This window comes from Homo sapiens, chromosome 8 (genome assembly GCF_000001405.40).
Source record: "Homo sapiens chromosome 8, GRCh38.p14 Primary Assembly".
Classification (NCBI taxonomy): domain Eukaryota; kingdom Metazoa; phylum Chordata; class Mammalia; order Primates; family Hominidae; genus Homo; species Homo sapiens.
In genome coordinates, this window is record NC_000008.11 from 66,162,821 (window position 1) to 66,179,739 (window position 16,919).

Sequence of the window (16,919 nt, forward strand, 5' to 3'; positions counted from 1 at the left end):
AAATTACAAAGATTTCTCCAATGTTTTCTTCTAGAATTTTTATAGTGTTAGCTCTTAAATTAGGTCTAAGATCATTTTGTTAATATTTGTGTAGATGAGATAAGGATCAAAGTTTGTTATTTGCTTTTTGATATAGATATTCATTTATTCCAGCACTATTTGTTAAAAGGCTATCCTTTTCCTCAGTGAATTACCTTAATACTTTTGTAGAAATTCAATTGACCATATATGTGTGAGTCTATTTCTGCACTTGTATTTTGTACCATTGATATATATGTTTGTCCCTCCCCCAGTACCACACTGTCTTGATTATTATAGCTTTAATAGAAGCCTCCAAATAAGTCAATGTAGTCTCCAGCTTCAATCTAGTTTCCACAATGTTCCATCTTTAAAAAAAACCCAGCTTTTGGCTTTGTTGGTTTTCTCCATTTTTTGGTCAGTTTTTCTATTCTATTCATTTCTGCTCTTAATGATTTTCTTCATTGTGCTTACTTTGGGTTTAATTTTCTCTTCTCTTTCTGTTTGTTAGGGTTAAAGCTCTGATTATTGACATGAGATTTTTCTTGCTTTCTGATACAAGCTTTCAGTGCTGTAAAGTTACTTCTCATCACTGCTTTTGCTGCATCCCACAAGTTTTGATATGTTGTATTTTCATTTTTATTTAATTTAAAACATTTTCTAGCTTACTTTGTAGTTTCTTCTTTGACCCATGGGTTATTTAGATGAGCGGCATTTCGTTTCCAGATATTTGAAGATTTTCAGATATCTTTCTTTTTGACTTGCAGTTTAATTCTGTTGTGGAGAAAGACCAGAATATACTTTATATGTTTCCAATCTTTTTAAGTTTATTAAGATTTGTTTTATGTCTCAGAATGTGATCAACCTTGGTGAATGTTCCACATGCATGTGAAAACACAAGTGTTTTCTGTTGTTGTTGGGCATGGTGTTCTGTACCTGTCAATTAAGGCAGTTGGTTGATAGTGTTGTTTAAGTCTACTATGTCCATATGGATTTTCAGTTTACCTGTTTCATCAGCTTCTGAGAGAGGAATTTTGAGATCTTTGACTAGAATTGTGGATTTGTCTATTCTTACAGTATCAGTTTTTGCCTTATGTGTTTGGAAACTGTTTAGGTACATTCATATTTAGCATTGTTTATTTTCTTGAAGAATTGATTCCAAGATAAGTGTTTTTTTTTTTTAAAGCAAAACTTGTCTACCTCTCCTCTTTTTGTGTCTGCATGCTGAAATGGGTAGAGAGAGGGTCCTCATTCACATACAACATCTTCCAAGGTAACTTTAAAAAGACAGGGGTGGGGCACCTGGAGGGGAACTATGCTGACAGTCATTAAGGCGTTATTCCACATGGCAGGCCATGGGGAAGGCTTCACTGCCTGAGTCCAACAAGCCTGCGTCCCCTTCCTCCTTCAGCCACAAGCACGGCCAAGCACAACAAAGACTGGGACGGTTGAGGTGCCTGATACCTTTAAGTGTCTAAGCTGAACCTCACAGTCTGATAATTAGTTGTCACTGTTCTGTGGGGCTCTATTTTTAGTTTTGATATCACTTGCTTTAGAAGCTAATATCTCTTGTACATTTTCATGACATACCTGTGCCCTAGTTCATCCCTTGTTCTGTCTAAACCAGTTTCCACAAAACTGCAGAGGCCACCTGTCATGGACCAGTGACTTCCAGCACTGGCTTGTCCTCTTGGCTGAGAAAGTCCAATGGTTCCCAGCCCAAGTATCAACAAAAAGGTGCAAATAGTCCCTTCCCCTTTCCCAAGTGTCCCCAGTTTCTTTCTATCTGACACATAATTATCTCAGAGACAGCCTCAGGAACAAAGTGGGTTCCTCACACCTTATGGCTCTTCACTCTCAAATAGCAGCGATGCAGAGGGCAAGGCCAATAGCCTACTATAGGCAGATGCAGTGGAGAAAATGTCGCCAAGGAAAACCAGCCTGCAGTCCTCTTAGTCTCCAACCCAGGCTCTGTGATAGTTGTTTTGTAAGATTATAAAGGTGATCCCAGAGGAAAATAAAAAACATTACATTACAGAAAAAAGGCAGGGAGGAAAGGAAAATGGAAGGGAAAGGAAAAATGGGAAGGAGGAAAGAAGGAAGGAAGGAAGGAAGGAAGGAAGGAAGGAAGGAAGGAGGGGACTTATGGTTTAAATGGTTTAAAAGACTGGTAGCGGGTAAGGGAGGAAGGGGCTAGCAAAGCCTCTTTTCCCCCTTGAACCCCAGGGTTTATTTCCCAGTCTTTCAGAAACCAATACACGTGTCCCCAGACCTGAGCCTTTCACATCACTCAAGGTTCAGCGCCCTTGAAAATATTCATATTTTCCTAAGCCAGGATGGACAATGGGCCAAAGTTCCAAGGAGGAGCAACCTTTGTGAGCCCCGCATCTCTACTGGGTATAACTTGCAAAAAGATAAAAGCATTTTATGCAAAAGATTTTTGAGACCAAGCTATACATTCTTATTTCAAGTGCAAACGTCCACTCCAGCTGCCACTAGAGACTGAGAGGTGAGAGATGCAGGAGGCTAGAGGGCCAGAAGCTGCTTTTCTGAGGAAGATTAATTTCACAAGATATTACAAAGCATTAAAAAAAAAAACTAGAGACTAAGAACATGATTTCCCATGAGTGTGACTATAGGTCTCAGGTTCTTTGAAATGATCTATTTAATTTTCCAAAACAAACGGAAGTGAATGAAAATTTAACTCTGTTCTCTAAATTTAATTGAAGGATTCAGGGTGTCAAATTATTTTCAAACAGAGATCCCTACTGAGAGCAATTGCTATGTGTTTTACAAATTAGGAGATTCAAGCTTACAAGTTGCTGATATGCCAGGCGCCCTGACCGTGCTGGAATTTCAACTTGATAACAATAGAGAAAAACTGATCCGTCCTCAGGACTGGCCTATATTTACTCCAAAATATTGTCCGGGGCCTAATAATCCTGGAAATTATAAGAAGCTATGGTAGTGAGATGCAGACATTCTTACCTAGGAAAAAAAATTGTAGGAGAGGGTAACATTTTTTTAACAAGTAAGTTTGAATGAGACCTTTACATTAACATTATTAATGCTTTTTCATTTGTACCCTACAACTGCAATATTATTTTTCTGGGCTTTTTTTTTTTCCTACTGAGAAAGTGCCAGATATTGGGGGCCTTGGGGAAATTTACATCCAGGTCCCCACAGCTGGGCTGCCATCTCCTCAATCTCCTCAAGGCCCCCAATATCTGTCACTATATCTCCTATTAACTGTCAATTTGGGGGTTTTACCAGAAGGACAATAAAAAAGTCAATACTAAAATTGTAGACTACATTTCTCAGGATCAAATGGCATCCTAAGTAAATGTCACTTTAATAGGAAGCTAAAATGGATGTATCCATTTTAAAGAGGAAAATATAATGTAAATTGTGTGTGAGTAGGGTAATGAATTCATTCATTTCCCCTGGCAATCTGTGCCTACAACTCTACAATTCTGTGAACACAGCTCTGGGAGAGCTCTCTTGGGGAGCTGTTATGACACAGCTAGCTGAGCTAAGCTTCCTGTGTTTTCAAATTGTTTATTATTCTGATTTAACCTAAGACTTTTGTTAGTGCTGTACATCCTGTGGGATTTTTTCTGTCTTTATTTGTGTATCTCAGTGATTTTCATGGTACACCTCTTCTTCCACTACACTCCACGAAGTGAAGAGTTAGTCCACCAAGGTGTTAATGCATCTGAAAAAACAATGGCACGTGGCAGTGGCTGTAACAAATGTGTGCCCATTGCTTTATCATCTACAAAGTCTTTCATAAGGATTCTCTCGTTTAAACCTCACAACAGCCCACTAGAGTAGGAACTGTTAAACTTTCCCATTTTATAGTGGAGGAAAATGAGGATTCTAGAGGAGGCATGACTTGCTTAGGATCACAGAGTAGCTGGGAGCTTGTTGCCTTTTGATCTCTCGTCCTCCACCAAGTGGGGCATGCAGTGTAATGGAAGCCAAGTAGCATCTAAGAAAAGTGGATGAATCCCCACTTCACTTAGGTTCATGGGACTGAGGCAAAAATCAGCGTGACCAGGGGCTGTTCTGCTTTGACTCACCACTCAGGATAGATCGGCACAGCCTCACAAGAACAGGTGGGTCGTTTCTAGGCCTCCACTCCTGGCAGGGATGTAGCTGTCCACTGCAAATGAGGGCGAGCCGATCCTTCAGTTGCATCCCATGCTGTCAACCAACCTGCCTCTCTGTCTGCCTTCAGTGGAGAGGCTGACCCTGTCCCGAGTCTCAGGTGTGCAACAACACCAGCTGCCCTCTTTCCCTTTGGACTTCTGGTCTCTATGAACAACTCTTGGCACTTTATCCTAGAGTTACTTTGAGCAAGGTCCTCAAACTTCCTGAGTCTGAACTTTCTCATCTATAACTGATAGTAATACTATCGACCTCCCATGGTTCTTAAGGACAACCTGTTGGGTCTGTTTGCCTAACGCAATGTAAGAAACCCCTGTCTGTGAAGAATTAATGACCTAATTCTTCACAATCCAGTTCTTTTTTCAGGAAGAGCAAGAATACATACACTGTCTACATGACACAAAATTGTCAGCTCCATATCTGAGAAGAAGGCTGGCAGCAAGTTTTTGCCAGGCTGTGATATCAACTTCCATAACCTGTCCTCTCCACCCTGATCCCATCAATTCCTGGACAACACACTTAACACAAACCAAACAGTACACACCACAGCATCCTCCTCCACGTCAGGAAGAAGTGAGTTTAATTCCTGCTTGTTTGATGGGCCTCAGGAAATTATTCTCATTTCCGATTTTCTCTTAGCAAGAAGGAGGCAGCTGATGGCAACAAAGCCCCCCAGTCAGTTCACTCCACACACCCCCTTAATCACTCAGTTTGTATGGCTGTGAATCCTCCCAAGAAAAAATGCTTTTCTTTTTTTTTAGAAAAAGGATCTCGCTGACATCCAGGCTAGAATGCAGTGGTGTGATCATAGCTCATTACAACCTTGAACTCCTGAGTTCAGATGATTCTCCCACCCAGCCTCCTGAGTAGCTAGGACTGCAGGCATGTGCCACCACATCCAGCAATTTTTTAAAAGTTTTTTGTAGGGGTGGGGTCATGCCATATTGCCCAGGCTGGCCTCGAACTCCTGACCTCAAGCAATCCTCCTGCCTCAGCTTGCCAAAGCACTGGGATTACAGGCATGAGCCATCATGCCTGGCCAAAAAATGCATTTTAGCGAGTGTTTTCCTTCCAGGCTCTTTTTGGGGGTTCCTATTTTCTGCTTCCTCTAGCTGTGCTGTATTTTCACAGCTCTACATTTCATTCCTAACATACCTTGATTGCTCTGTCCCAAACAGAAATGTCTGCATTCCTGTGAAATAGACACCTATGATGGCAGAGCTGCCTAACAGAGTTTCTAAGGCTTTGACCCTTGGCTGTGAGTCAGAGATAGTGCCTCAGTTACTTCTCACCATGGGTGACTGGCCTGGGTTCTTGGCTGTACTCTCCTTCCCAGTTAGGAATCTGTAACACCTAAACTATCCAAGAGCCTGAGGTTCAGGAATGCTAAGTAGGAGAGCGGGCCAATGCTTGGGCTTGGTCTTTCTGAATAAACATTCTAAACTTGGTCTCAGCATTCCTACTCACACCTGCTTCCAGCATCTGGCTTTGGTTCTCTGACCCAGCCTAGCAGGTGCAAGATGGATACTGGGTGGTTGCCCACTCAGCAGCCTTAAGTCTAGCCGTACCCCTCCTGTCCACATTCCTTTAAGGCAAAGGCATTTCATGATAGATGGGCAAAGATTTCTTTAAATTGACCCAGAAAGACAGGCATTTAACATGCATTGGTAACCAGATCCTATGTCAGGTTGAATTTCTGACTGGCATTCCTTGCAGTACTCAGAGATTGAGGAAATGGCAGCCCAGCTGTGGGGGCCTTGGCGTAAATTTCCTCAAGGCCCCCAATATCTCCTCAATGGCCTGGCATCAGTCATCCCTCAGGATAAGACATGAATATTTCTAGGTAAAGTATTATCTGGCAGGGGCATACATGAGGCCATCATTATCCATTAATGTCTTCGTTGCAATGCATCTTCTCAGCTTGATTGCTATCGCTTGACTGAGCCTTAAGGAATGGAACACAAGACAGGTAAGCGTTAGTGGATCAGAGTCATGGATGATGTAGAGAATGATCATTTAGGGAAGGGTTGATGCTGGCATGTCATGGAGGCCCTGGGAAACTTAGAGACTCAAAGGCACTGGTCACTGATTAAAATAAGCTCACTCTTCTACTTTGGGGCAGCTAAAAAAAATAATGCCCCCCCACAAATGTGGCTACCCAAACTTGTGCCAGAGTGAATGTCAGGAAAGCATTTGTTTAGTTTCATTAGGTAGAAGAGGTGGGGTGAGATGCATTTGGGGTAAAGGGGGCTACTGGCATTGACCCCCAAGCTCAAACAAGCGCATATCCACCAATCTGCACCCAGTTATATTCCCTATGCTAAGATCCTGGGGACTAATCTGCACTCAAATGAATTTTAAAGGCAGTTTCATGCTTTCACTGTCAAGATTCTTGCCATGAGACATACTTTGGCTTTAAAAAAAATCACTCATCACATTTAACATAAAAATCAAGCCAAATCTCCATTGAGCATTTTACTTCCTTTTCTTTGACACCTTCAACTAAAAATTAACCTTCTGTTAAGAGCAGTAAGATTGTGTGCCTTTAGGAGCCGAGAAGGTAACATGAATGAAAAAGCAGGCCAGGTAACAGAAAAATGTTAATAGAAGCATAAATACAAGACATTGCTTGCTTTCCTTTTTACTCTGAGCATAGCAACTGTGTAAGCACAAAGATAAATGGCAACTGAAACCAGCCTTGCAGCAGGGGCAGCAAAGGGAGTGTTGAGCGCTGTGACCCTGACCGAGATGGGCAGAAGGGACGGAGCATTCCCAATCCAAGGCACAACACTGCTTAGCTCTCCATGCAAGTTCTGGGTTGTTCATTTTTGCTTTGTCCAAAGAACCTGCAAATCCATATTTTAATGTGATGTTGCCTGAATTTTTTTAAAATTTTTTATTCTAGTAAAGAATGCAGAATATAGATTTACCATCTTAACCACTCCCATTACACATTCTAAGTGTCTATAGTGTCTGTTAAGAGCAATAAGTTTGTGTTTCTTTAGGAACCAAGAAGGTAACATGAACGAAAAAGCAGGCCAGGTAACAGAAAAAAATGTTAGTATAAACAGTATAACAGAAAATGGGAGTATATAATGTGTATACTCCCATTACACATTCTAAGTGCCCAGTTCTGTAGTGTTAAGTATATTCACACTATTGTGCAACCAATTGCTAGAACTTTTTCATCTTGCAAAACAGAAGCACTGTACACATTAAAGAAAAACTCCCCATTTCACCCTTCCCCAGCCCCTGGTAACCATCATCCTAGTTTCTGTCTATGAATTTGACCATCTAGATACATCATGTAAGTGGAATCATATAATATTCGTCCCTTTGTGTCTGGCTTATTTCACTTAGCATAAGGTCCTCAAGGTTCATCCACATTGTAGCATGTGCCAGAATTTTTCTCCTTTTTAAGGCTGAACAGTGTTCCATTGTATTCCATTGATTCTTGACATGTATGTATGCATGACATTTTGTTTATCTGCTTCTCCAAGGATGGACTCTTGGGTTGTTTCTACCTCTTGGCTATTGTGAATAATGTTTCTGTGAACATGGCAAGTATCTGTGCCAGGTCCTTCTTTTTTGTTTGCAACGAATTCACATTAAAAAAAAATACCCTGCAAACATTAAGCAATTAGGAGTGAGGATGTGGTAAAATTGGAACCCTCATGCACTGCTGGGAGAATGTAAAATGGTCCATAGCAGCTGCTATAGAAAACAGTACAGAGGTTCCTCAAAAAATTTAACAGAGTTACCATAAAATCCTGCAATTCCACTTCTGAGTATATACTCAAAAGAATTGAAAGCAGGGCCTCACACAGATATTTGCACACTCCTGTTCAAGCAACATTATTCACAATAGCCAAGAGGCAGAAGCAACCTAAATCTAAAATCATTTCTTGTTGATGGGTGTTAATGAGCATGCACTCTGACAGAGCCTTGTAGACATCTGTCTCTGTGTACAGGACAGTTCCACGTTACGGACAGTGTTTGCCTAACCCAAACTGAGGTTCGTGTCTAAGTACGTTCTGTAATGTTTACATAACAACAAAATCACCTAAGGATGCATTTCTTTTTTAAAAACACTTTATTTTAAGTTCAGGGGTACAGGTTTGTTACATAGGTAAACTTGTGTTATGGGGGTTTGTTGTACAGATTATTTCACACCCAGGTAGTAAGCCTAGCGCTCATTAGTTGTTTTTCCTGATTCTCTCCCTCCTCCCACCCTCCACCCTCCACCCTCCGAAAGGCCCCAGTGTGTGTTTTTCCCCTCTATGTGTTCATGTGTTCTCATCATTTAGCTCCCACTGATAAGTGAGAACATGTGGTATTTGGTTTTCCGTTTCTGTGTTAGTTTGCTAAGGATAATGGCCTCCCGCTACATCCATGTCTCTGCAAAAGACATGATCTTGTTCTTTTTTATGTCTGCTTAGTATCTAAGGATGCATTTATTAGAAGGTATCCCTGTCATTAAAAAACATGTGACTGTAATATGGACTATCAATCTGTTGTTTACCTTTTTATACATATCAGACCAAACTGGAATGCAGGACAAGCTCCCAAGCAGATAGAGGAGATCAGTGCTTGTAATTCTCTGTCCCTTGTTCTGCTTCATAGAACATCACTATTCCCAAGAAATAGCACTTTCTGTGATAAAGGAGAGACAGCATTTAAGAAACTATTTGAAGGAACACATATACACAACTCCATCTCGGGAAGGCTGTAGGAAAAAGATCTGCTTTTGATTTGATGGGCTGTGCTTACAGAAAAGAGTTTTAGATCTTTAACTCATTCTTCCTTTATGAGGTAGCCATGTATGAAGTTGGGCCTCTTGGAGATACACTGGACAGTGTCATTGATGCCTGTGATTACAGCACACTGAAGGGATTAAATCATAGAAAAGATGCCCAATTCTGGAAAAATGAGATTGCAAATACTATTGTCTTTTCTTATTGGGGTGCTATTGTATATGGTTTGTCATAAACAGTACCCAGGGGATTCTGCATGGCAGAGGAGCCTCTTCACTGTTGAAAGAAAGGAGGGGGGAAGAGGGGAAGGAAGGAAGGAAAGAAGGAAGGAAGGAAGGAAGGACCAACCTAATATAAGTGAGGCATGTGTAAAGTGCTTTATGTGTATTACTTTATTCAGTCCTTACGACAACCTTGTAAGGTAGGTTCTCATCTCTATTTTACAGAAGAGAAAACTAAGGCTCAGAGAGTTAACTAACTTGTCCAAGTCATACAGCTAATAAGTAGTTTGTGTGGGATTCAAAACTAGGCTAAGCCTCTTTGCACAGAACTTTCTTTGCTGAGCTGGTTGTTGGGTCCTCAGTGGATATAAACAAGACCAAGGAGATGGTGCAATTATCTAAAGATACTCAGGATAACCTCTGCTATTGGATAACCCCCCACTCTGGTACTGGCTTTTCTTTTCTGAAAGATAGCATTGGTCCATATTGTTTGGAGGAAAACTTAATAATTTCCTGGAAACATGGAAGTGTAAGAGAAGCCAACCCAAACTATGTAATCCCAAATATGAAGGCAATAGTGGGTTAACAACTAAAACATTTTAAATGGAAGATAGATGTCAATCTCTAGTAGAGGAAAGCACAAAAATTTATACATATTCCAAAAGCAGTCCCAGGGGCTTGTTCGCTACCAGCAGTTTCCCAAAGGTTCTGCCTTCTGCAGAAAACACATTACCCAACTTGTGTCACCCTTCAACTATGTCAGAACAGCTGCCATGGAAGTTCCCTTTAGATTAGAAACTGCCTTCAAGAAAAAGAGGCCACAAAATGGACCTTGATGGTCTGTTCATCCAGGCGGAATTCGCTATTTGCTCAAATTGAATGGTTAAAAATAAGTCTTTTTATATATGCCCAGGTCATTTGGGCTTTCGGGGTTTTTTGTTGTTGTTGTTTTTTGCATAAGCCATACATGAGACTTAAGGGTTTGTTTTTTGTTTGTTTGTTTATTAGCCAGGGTAAGAGGATTATGGTGGGCAAGGAAGGAGTTGGACGTGTAAAAATAGGTGCAGGATTCTGTCAGGATAATGTTTATTTTACTTCACTTTCAAGGACATTGAGGTATCTGACACATTACCAACAGAATCTAGTAACGTTCTTTTTCAAAAAGCCCAATTTCGCTTGATGTTTCCACTATTCCTTCATAGAAAACTACCTATTTCAGTTTTATTCTACTGTGGCTAATATGATTTCATGGCCCTTTTTAACTTTCTATCAGGAAGCAATGTGGCAGTACAAAGGATTATCCCAAAGCCATAAAGACTTAGGATAATTTTATTGCTCTTGAAACATCATCCCCAAACATATGTTTAGGGTAAAATCTGGTAAAGTGCAGGCCAATAACTCATTTTGCTCTCAAGACTATTTTGAGTGGCAGTAAAACAACATACTTAACCAAAGTTCTGCTTTACTTGTGCCAGGTATTATCCATTCATATCGCAGCTTCATAAAATCATCCAGGGCTTCTGAGCTGAATGCATGTGGCTACCTCACTGCTTTGAAATCAGTGGCATTCTAATCTGGTGGGATAATTTTACCAGTGATGTCATCGGAACATGTTTGCTTATTTATCCATAGTTCTCCTAGGAAGGACGGTGTTTGTCATGGTACCTTGAAATGTAAAGAGTTTGAGCTCATAAAATCAAATTGCATTTCAGCAAGACTTCTTCCTGATTGTCCCTCATTCCATTAAGTTGTGATTTTTAAAGGCAAAACAACATAAGTAAATTTTGCTTATGACATAGATTAATCAATAAATTCAGAATTGCAACCTGTCTATCTCAGGTGCCTACAAAAGATAATTATTTCTTTAGACATGCTTATATTGGATTTGATTTAATATAGATATGGTTATTAGATTTTATTACCTAGAGAAAAAAAAATCCCATCATGATTTGCCCAAAATTAAGCCTGTAGTTTTGTAAAAATTATAGTAAGAAAATATATATGTATATGCATGCTAGAAACTTCTTCAGCAGTGGAGGGATTATATTAATATGTCCCACAATGTCATGTGGCATAGCAGTGCCATTTAAATTTGGAATTTTTTCAAATTCTGCAACCCTTTCTAAACCCAGTTCCTAGAGGTTTCAATGAGACTTTCATCTGAATAAATCATGTACAAGTGGACTTAAAAAAAAAAAAAACTAGAATAGCCTGAACTCCTTTTTCCCAAGAACTTCTCTCCACTGCATGCATTACTGTTCCTTCTTTTTGTATCATGAGTGTGAATTATTTTCATGACTCTTGGCTGTAGCCAAAATAATCTGAGCTTGCTTTCTATTTCTAATAATTATGTGCCATATAATAATATTGTTATTATAATAATAATTGTTATTATTATTATACTTTCTCCTCAATAGAAAAGTGACTGGACCAATCCAAAAAGAACAAACCTCTTTTTTCTCTGATTCCCATTTTCTTCCATTGCAGATTGGATTTGAGGCTCCTCCCCTCCAGGGACAGGCTGCAGCTCCAGCGAGTGGCAGTGGAGCTGATTCTGAGCCAGCTCGCCATATCTTCTCCTTTTCCTGGTTGAACTCCCTAAATGAATGATATTCATTCCAACTGCTGCCCCTCTGTCTGCCTGGCTGAGATGCATGTGGGCAGCAGGAAGCCCAAGTGAAATTAATATTATGCAGATGATGAAAGGGACCTCTGAACAGGATTTCTGCAAAAATAGCCCCAAACTGCAATTCCATATGACTTATCTAACATCTTGGGGGGAAAGAATATTTTGAGAAAATAGTTGCAGAAAGCACTGGAAATAATAAACTTGATCTTATACAAATCTTCTATTGTGTGGAAAATGTTGTGAAGGGTGTGTAGGTGTGGTACATGTGTATGTCACTAACAAGTGGCAAATGGTGAAAAAAGTGGTCACTATGCTTTTGTCTCTCATAGGCACTGACTTTTTGTTATTATATTATGGTAGCTTTCATTTCCTTTACTCTTTAACAGTGCAGGTGGTCAGTGAAAATCAGTGTCAACTCAGAAGTGACTGATTTATCAATACATGGACAAAAAGTAAATCATTGACCAAAGCTATGAAATGTTTCACAAAGTTTTCCTCTTTTGCATAACAGATGTCACTGGATGTACATTCAGAAATGTTCTTTGAATTTGGTGACACTTTCATGGTCCAGAAAGCTGAAGGCCTGGGCATCTCTTGTGACATTTTTCTAATATTAGTTTTAGATTTTCACGTATTAGGCACTTTAGTTGAATCTTCCAGCAAAAGCTGTCTACTTTCTCTTTTATTCACTGTGGCACCAATCTGGTAAATTGTAGAACAATTGCATGTGTTTAAATATATATACAAACATATCACACATTAAATATATATATATTTAAATCATGCTTTGTTAATATTTGTCCCACCATAATGCCTCCTTCAGAACATAAGTGTAACTTTATATGAACTCTTAAATAAATGATGTTTTTAAAAGCTTCGTCTTATAATGATTTATTCAATGTTCTGTATTATCTTATTCATCCATTAGTTAAGTGTATTTCAAGGGTCCCAGGATAAGATGCATCTTCATACAGACAAATTAATTTTGAAGTATTAAACATTTGATTGAATTGTTTAAAGCTATAACTAAACTACCAAAGGCAAATGCACTGTAAAACTAATTAAATGTGCTGTTCAGTTTTAGAAATGAACAAAGGTAGTTCCTGTTCCTAAGAATAAAAGTGATTAGGGTTGACATAAGCAAAAATGTGGAGGATATTTGTGTAATTATTAAAGTCAAAATGTTCTTCATAAGAAAATTTTCCTATGTGACATTTTATAATGACTAAATTTAGTCGTCTTAAGTGGAGATGCTATTAAGTTTCTCTTATTAGATGTAGTCATTGGAAAATAGCTTAGAAAAAATAGTTTTATGGTACCAAAGTAGTAGTTTGACAGAGTGAGTTTTTCTCATAGAAAAAGAATGCAGCATTTTGGCCATACAGTTTGGAGGAATTTCTAGCTTGACACTTCTCTCTTCCTCATCTTTTCCCCACTATCTCCAATTATTTCATATATTTTAATTGATCAGGGCTAAATGTTATTTCCATTATAAAATGATCTTCCCTTTTAGAATTACCATGTTTTAGAGCTGCTGGGAGCAACTTCCTGAATTATTAACTCAACCTCAGAGAAGTAGTCCATGGCACAGAGATGAGCCCAACGTGATTGCAGGGTCTGTGTAAGCCACTGACATATGTTTGCATTTTTAGTGGAAAAATATAATGCAGGAAGTTTTGCTTTTCTTTTCTGGTGCTGAAGACAATTTGGAGGAAGCTAAGAGAGTATTTCCAGTGTATGAGCACTGAAGAGAAACAGTAAAGTCATGATTACCTTTGCAACTTTTATTAAAAATATAAGTATTCAACATTCTCTTACACAACCAAACTGACCAAGGACTGGAAAGATGTTTTATTACTGAAACGTTTACAAGAGAAAGTTGTTTCAAAGAGCTTACAGATTTAGTCTTACCCACCCAAGAGAATGGCATTCTCTTTGGCTCAGACCACAACAAAAACAATTGAGTGACTTCTGTCTGCTTTTTCAAACAAAACGTTTTCTCACAGGTCTACATTCTCTTTAAAACACCACTATAAACACCTGGAAACGGAAACTAAACGTAGACAAAACGAATAACATTGTGTTGCTGCTGCACGTGAATACACTTTGTGCATGCTAAGTAAGGGGTATAGGCTCTCTCCCTCTCTCCCTCTATGTTTCAAGCTATATAAAAATAAACAAATGGCATAAGAGCAGCGCTATGGTACAGAATACTGTATTTTTTTAAATTTTTTTTGTGCTAAATGCAGATTCTTTTTGGCCAAACGCACCGTTTTATTTCCCAATAATCTCCATGAGTTTCCTGTTGCTGTGAGCTTGCTGTGCTAACTGCTCGGCCCTGGCCATTTCCAAGACTTCCCGGAGGAGGTGGAAGGTGAGATCCAGGGAGATGGGAGGCTCCTCGGACCGCCTTTCTCTCTCCGGTGCCTCCTGGTGGCCGCCGAGGGCATTCCTAGCGCCGCGCTCCGCGAGAGCCGCGGGGCTGTCGAGCGAGCGCCGAGGCAGCAGCAGCTGCTGCAGCAACACGCGGAAAAAGTTGGCGGTCGCCTGTTCCGGCGAAGGGCGGCTGCCGCTGCCTCCGGCGAGGAGCGAGGAGGCGGGCGAAAGGGGAGCGGCCGGGCTCTTGTTGAGGTTCCCCAGGCGGAGGAAGTACTCCTCTCCCATGCGGAGCAGGACCGGCCGAGCCTGCGGCTGCTGGGGCTGCTCGGACTGCGGCGGCGGCTGGAAGAAATCCAAGGGCTGAGGGTGCTGCGGCGCCTGCCGAGCTCCCGGGACCGGCCCGCGGCTCAGGAGCGCCCTGCATGGCGGGCAGGGCAGGAGAGCCACCAGCAGGACTCCCGCGGACACAAGCAGCGGCAGCCGCATGTTAGGGGCACTCGCTGCGGCACAGAGGTGGGCGGAGGGCGGAATGAGAGAGGGGAAGAGAGAAAGAAAGAGTTGGTTAGAGTTCGCTCAGCTGGGAGGTGCACACGGGGTCTTCCTACGGGACTGCCTTAGACGTGCTGGGCTTTGGCCTCAGTGATTCGGATGGGCGCTGTCCGCGGTGCTGAAGCGCCTGGGGAGCGGGGAAAGGGGGCGCCTGCAGGGCTCCGCACCTAAGCTCATGCGCTCACCGGCCAGGAGTGACCCTTCTTTCTAGACTCTGAAAGGACGGTCCCTGCGTCCTCTTCCTAACGATCCTCAAAACTAATTTTCCCGATCCTAGAGAAGAGCCACAGATTTAAGATCCCACCCGCGCTGACTACCTCCCTTCCGGATATTTCAGCATTTTCTTCCAAATTGAGAACTACTGCCTCATGGTCCTCCCTCTCCACTTCTGCCCTTGCTGCCTTATCTCGGGGGTTAGGATAGAAGGGGGTGGGGGAGCTCCTTTACACAGCCAGCAAGGAGCAACTGGCAGCACGGGTAACGAAGAGCAGCCGTCTAAGTTTGCTTTTGCCACATCCCAGCTACTATTGTAATCTTAAGGAATAGTCCGCGAACACGCGCGCACACACACACGCACGCACGCGCGCATACACACACACACATACGCATACACACATGCATACACACACACACACGCACGCACACACATGCATACACACGTACACAGGCAGGGGCAGCCGGCTCCGCGGCGCACATCGCGGCAGCTCAGGCAACGCAAAGTTGGTGGCGTGTTCCGTCCAGGCGCTCCCTACCTTCCCAGGCGCTTCGCAGGTGAGCCGGGTGCTGCCGCCTCTCTGCAGAGAGACGTCTCCGGGGGCTTTCTCTGGAGGTTGTCTTCCTTTCTCTTTACTGTTCCCACTCTCTTTTTCTTTCTCTCCTCTCTTTCCCCTCAGTCTCTCAATGGACTTGGTCTCTGAGTTTCTCCACTCCAGAGCCTGGAGTGGGATTTTATAGTGTCGACCCTCTTCAAAAACCACGCAGCATTTGCCTAATAAGCTGACGCTCTCTTGACAGCTCGATTGCGTGCTGCCTCTGCTCCTGCATAAATCATAGGGCCCTGCCAAGGAACGAGGGGCAGAATTTTGCTATCTCAACACTGAATCTCACATCCAATTATATCAACAGATATTTATCGCCTCTTGGTGACGTCAACGAGCCCTAAAATGGAAGGGCTTCTTATGACTTGTCCATTGACAAAAATTCTTGAATGAGATTTCCCAAGTGTGAAAACATATTGACCTCTTACTATGAAAGGCCATATTAGGGGTGTGCAAAGAGACAGCGAATGGGAGGAGGAAGGGGAAGTGGGAAGGAAGTGAGGTGTCCCAGTGCAGCCCTGCCAGGAAAGCAGCAGCCAGTTGGAGGGGGTGGACCTGGATGCCCCTTCTCCTAACCTCCCTGACCAGGTGTCTCTGACAACACCTCAGTATCTGGAAATATCCCTTTGCTAGAGACAGAGTCCCACCATCTTTCTGCCTGGAAAAGAATGAAGCATCAGGAGAGGGGTGTGCAGGAACATCCAGCTTTTAAACGTCTATCTGCTTTTTCCTCCCAAGAGCAAGCACATAAAGGAGTTATGAGCCTGCAGAAGCAAGGCCAATAAATCTCTCAAAATGCAGTTCAAGTTTTTTAGATGATGACAAGAGCTACTCCCATAGTGAAGGGGCACAAACCGGGGTTAGTAAGGGGTGCGGCAAAGATTTTAGGTTATCTCAGAAACTCTCTGCTCCTTTTTTTGTCTCTCTTCTCACAATCTAAAATTAATTGTGGACTCCCTTTTCTATTCCCAAATTAAAGAGAGAGGCGGCCAGTGAGAGATGCATGAGTTAAACAAGCTTTACTTATTCTACTGAATGCAAACTCAATGAGAGGCATCCATTCTAACTTCCTAATCTATGTTGAAAAAGGCTTAAACTGCTTGACTACAGGGCTAAATTCATTAGTTACATGTTTTCATTGGTCAATATTGAGTCTGTAAAAAAAAACTCGTTCATTTCACCTCCAAATACTATCAACATCCATAATAGTATCCACATCTGGGCCACCCAGGGTGGTTCTTTTTAATTATTTCTTTTTCCAAATCCAAATGTGCTTCATGTCAGCCTGTTAAATAAATAAATGCTCTCTGACATGTCGCAGAATGGAATGGAATGCTAAGCCTGTAAAACTATATTCAATTTTTGATTAATTGACACTATC

At 41.6% G+C, this 16,919-nt stretch overlaps 2 protein-coding genes across 9 annotated transcripts in view, besides 1 other annotated feature; one reads left to right on the plus strand and one right to left on the minus strand.

The window, feature by feature from the left end:
• Positions 1-12,665, plus strand: part of TRIM55 (tripartite motif containing 55) — a 62,135-nt gene extending 49,470 nt beyond the window's left edge. For all 8 annotated transcript variants that reach the window (XM_011517617.3, XM_017013908.2, NM_033058.3 and 5 more), the window contains one exon: positions 11,651-12,665. In XM_011517617.3, the coding sequence (XP_011515919.1) occupies positions 11,651-11,773 (123 nt within the window). In that variant the 3' untranslated portion in view covers positions 11,774-12,665. The remainder of the gene's footprint in view (positions 1-11,650) is intronic.
• Positions 13,556-15,644, minus strand: CRH (corticotropin releasing hormone). The gene is made up of 2 exons (NM_000756.4): positions 15,473-15,644; positions 13,556-14,671 (listed from the first exon to the last, which is right to left on the minus strand). Exon 2 carries the CDS (start codon positions 14,655-14,657, stop codon positions 14,067-14,069), a length of 591 nt encoding a protein of 196 aa, NP_000747.1. The 5' UTR covers positions 14,658-14,671; positions 15,473-15,644; the 3' UTR covers positions 13,556-14,066.
• Positions 14,530-14,599: an enhancer, noted in NCBI's record as "active region_27476". NCBI's record gives its function as "activates an Ori minimal core promoter by ATAC-STARR-seq in GM12878 lymphoblastoid cells {active_cell/tissue: GM12878}" and the evidence as "EXISTENCE:reporter gene assay evidence [ECO:0000049][PMID:35858748]".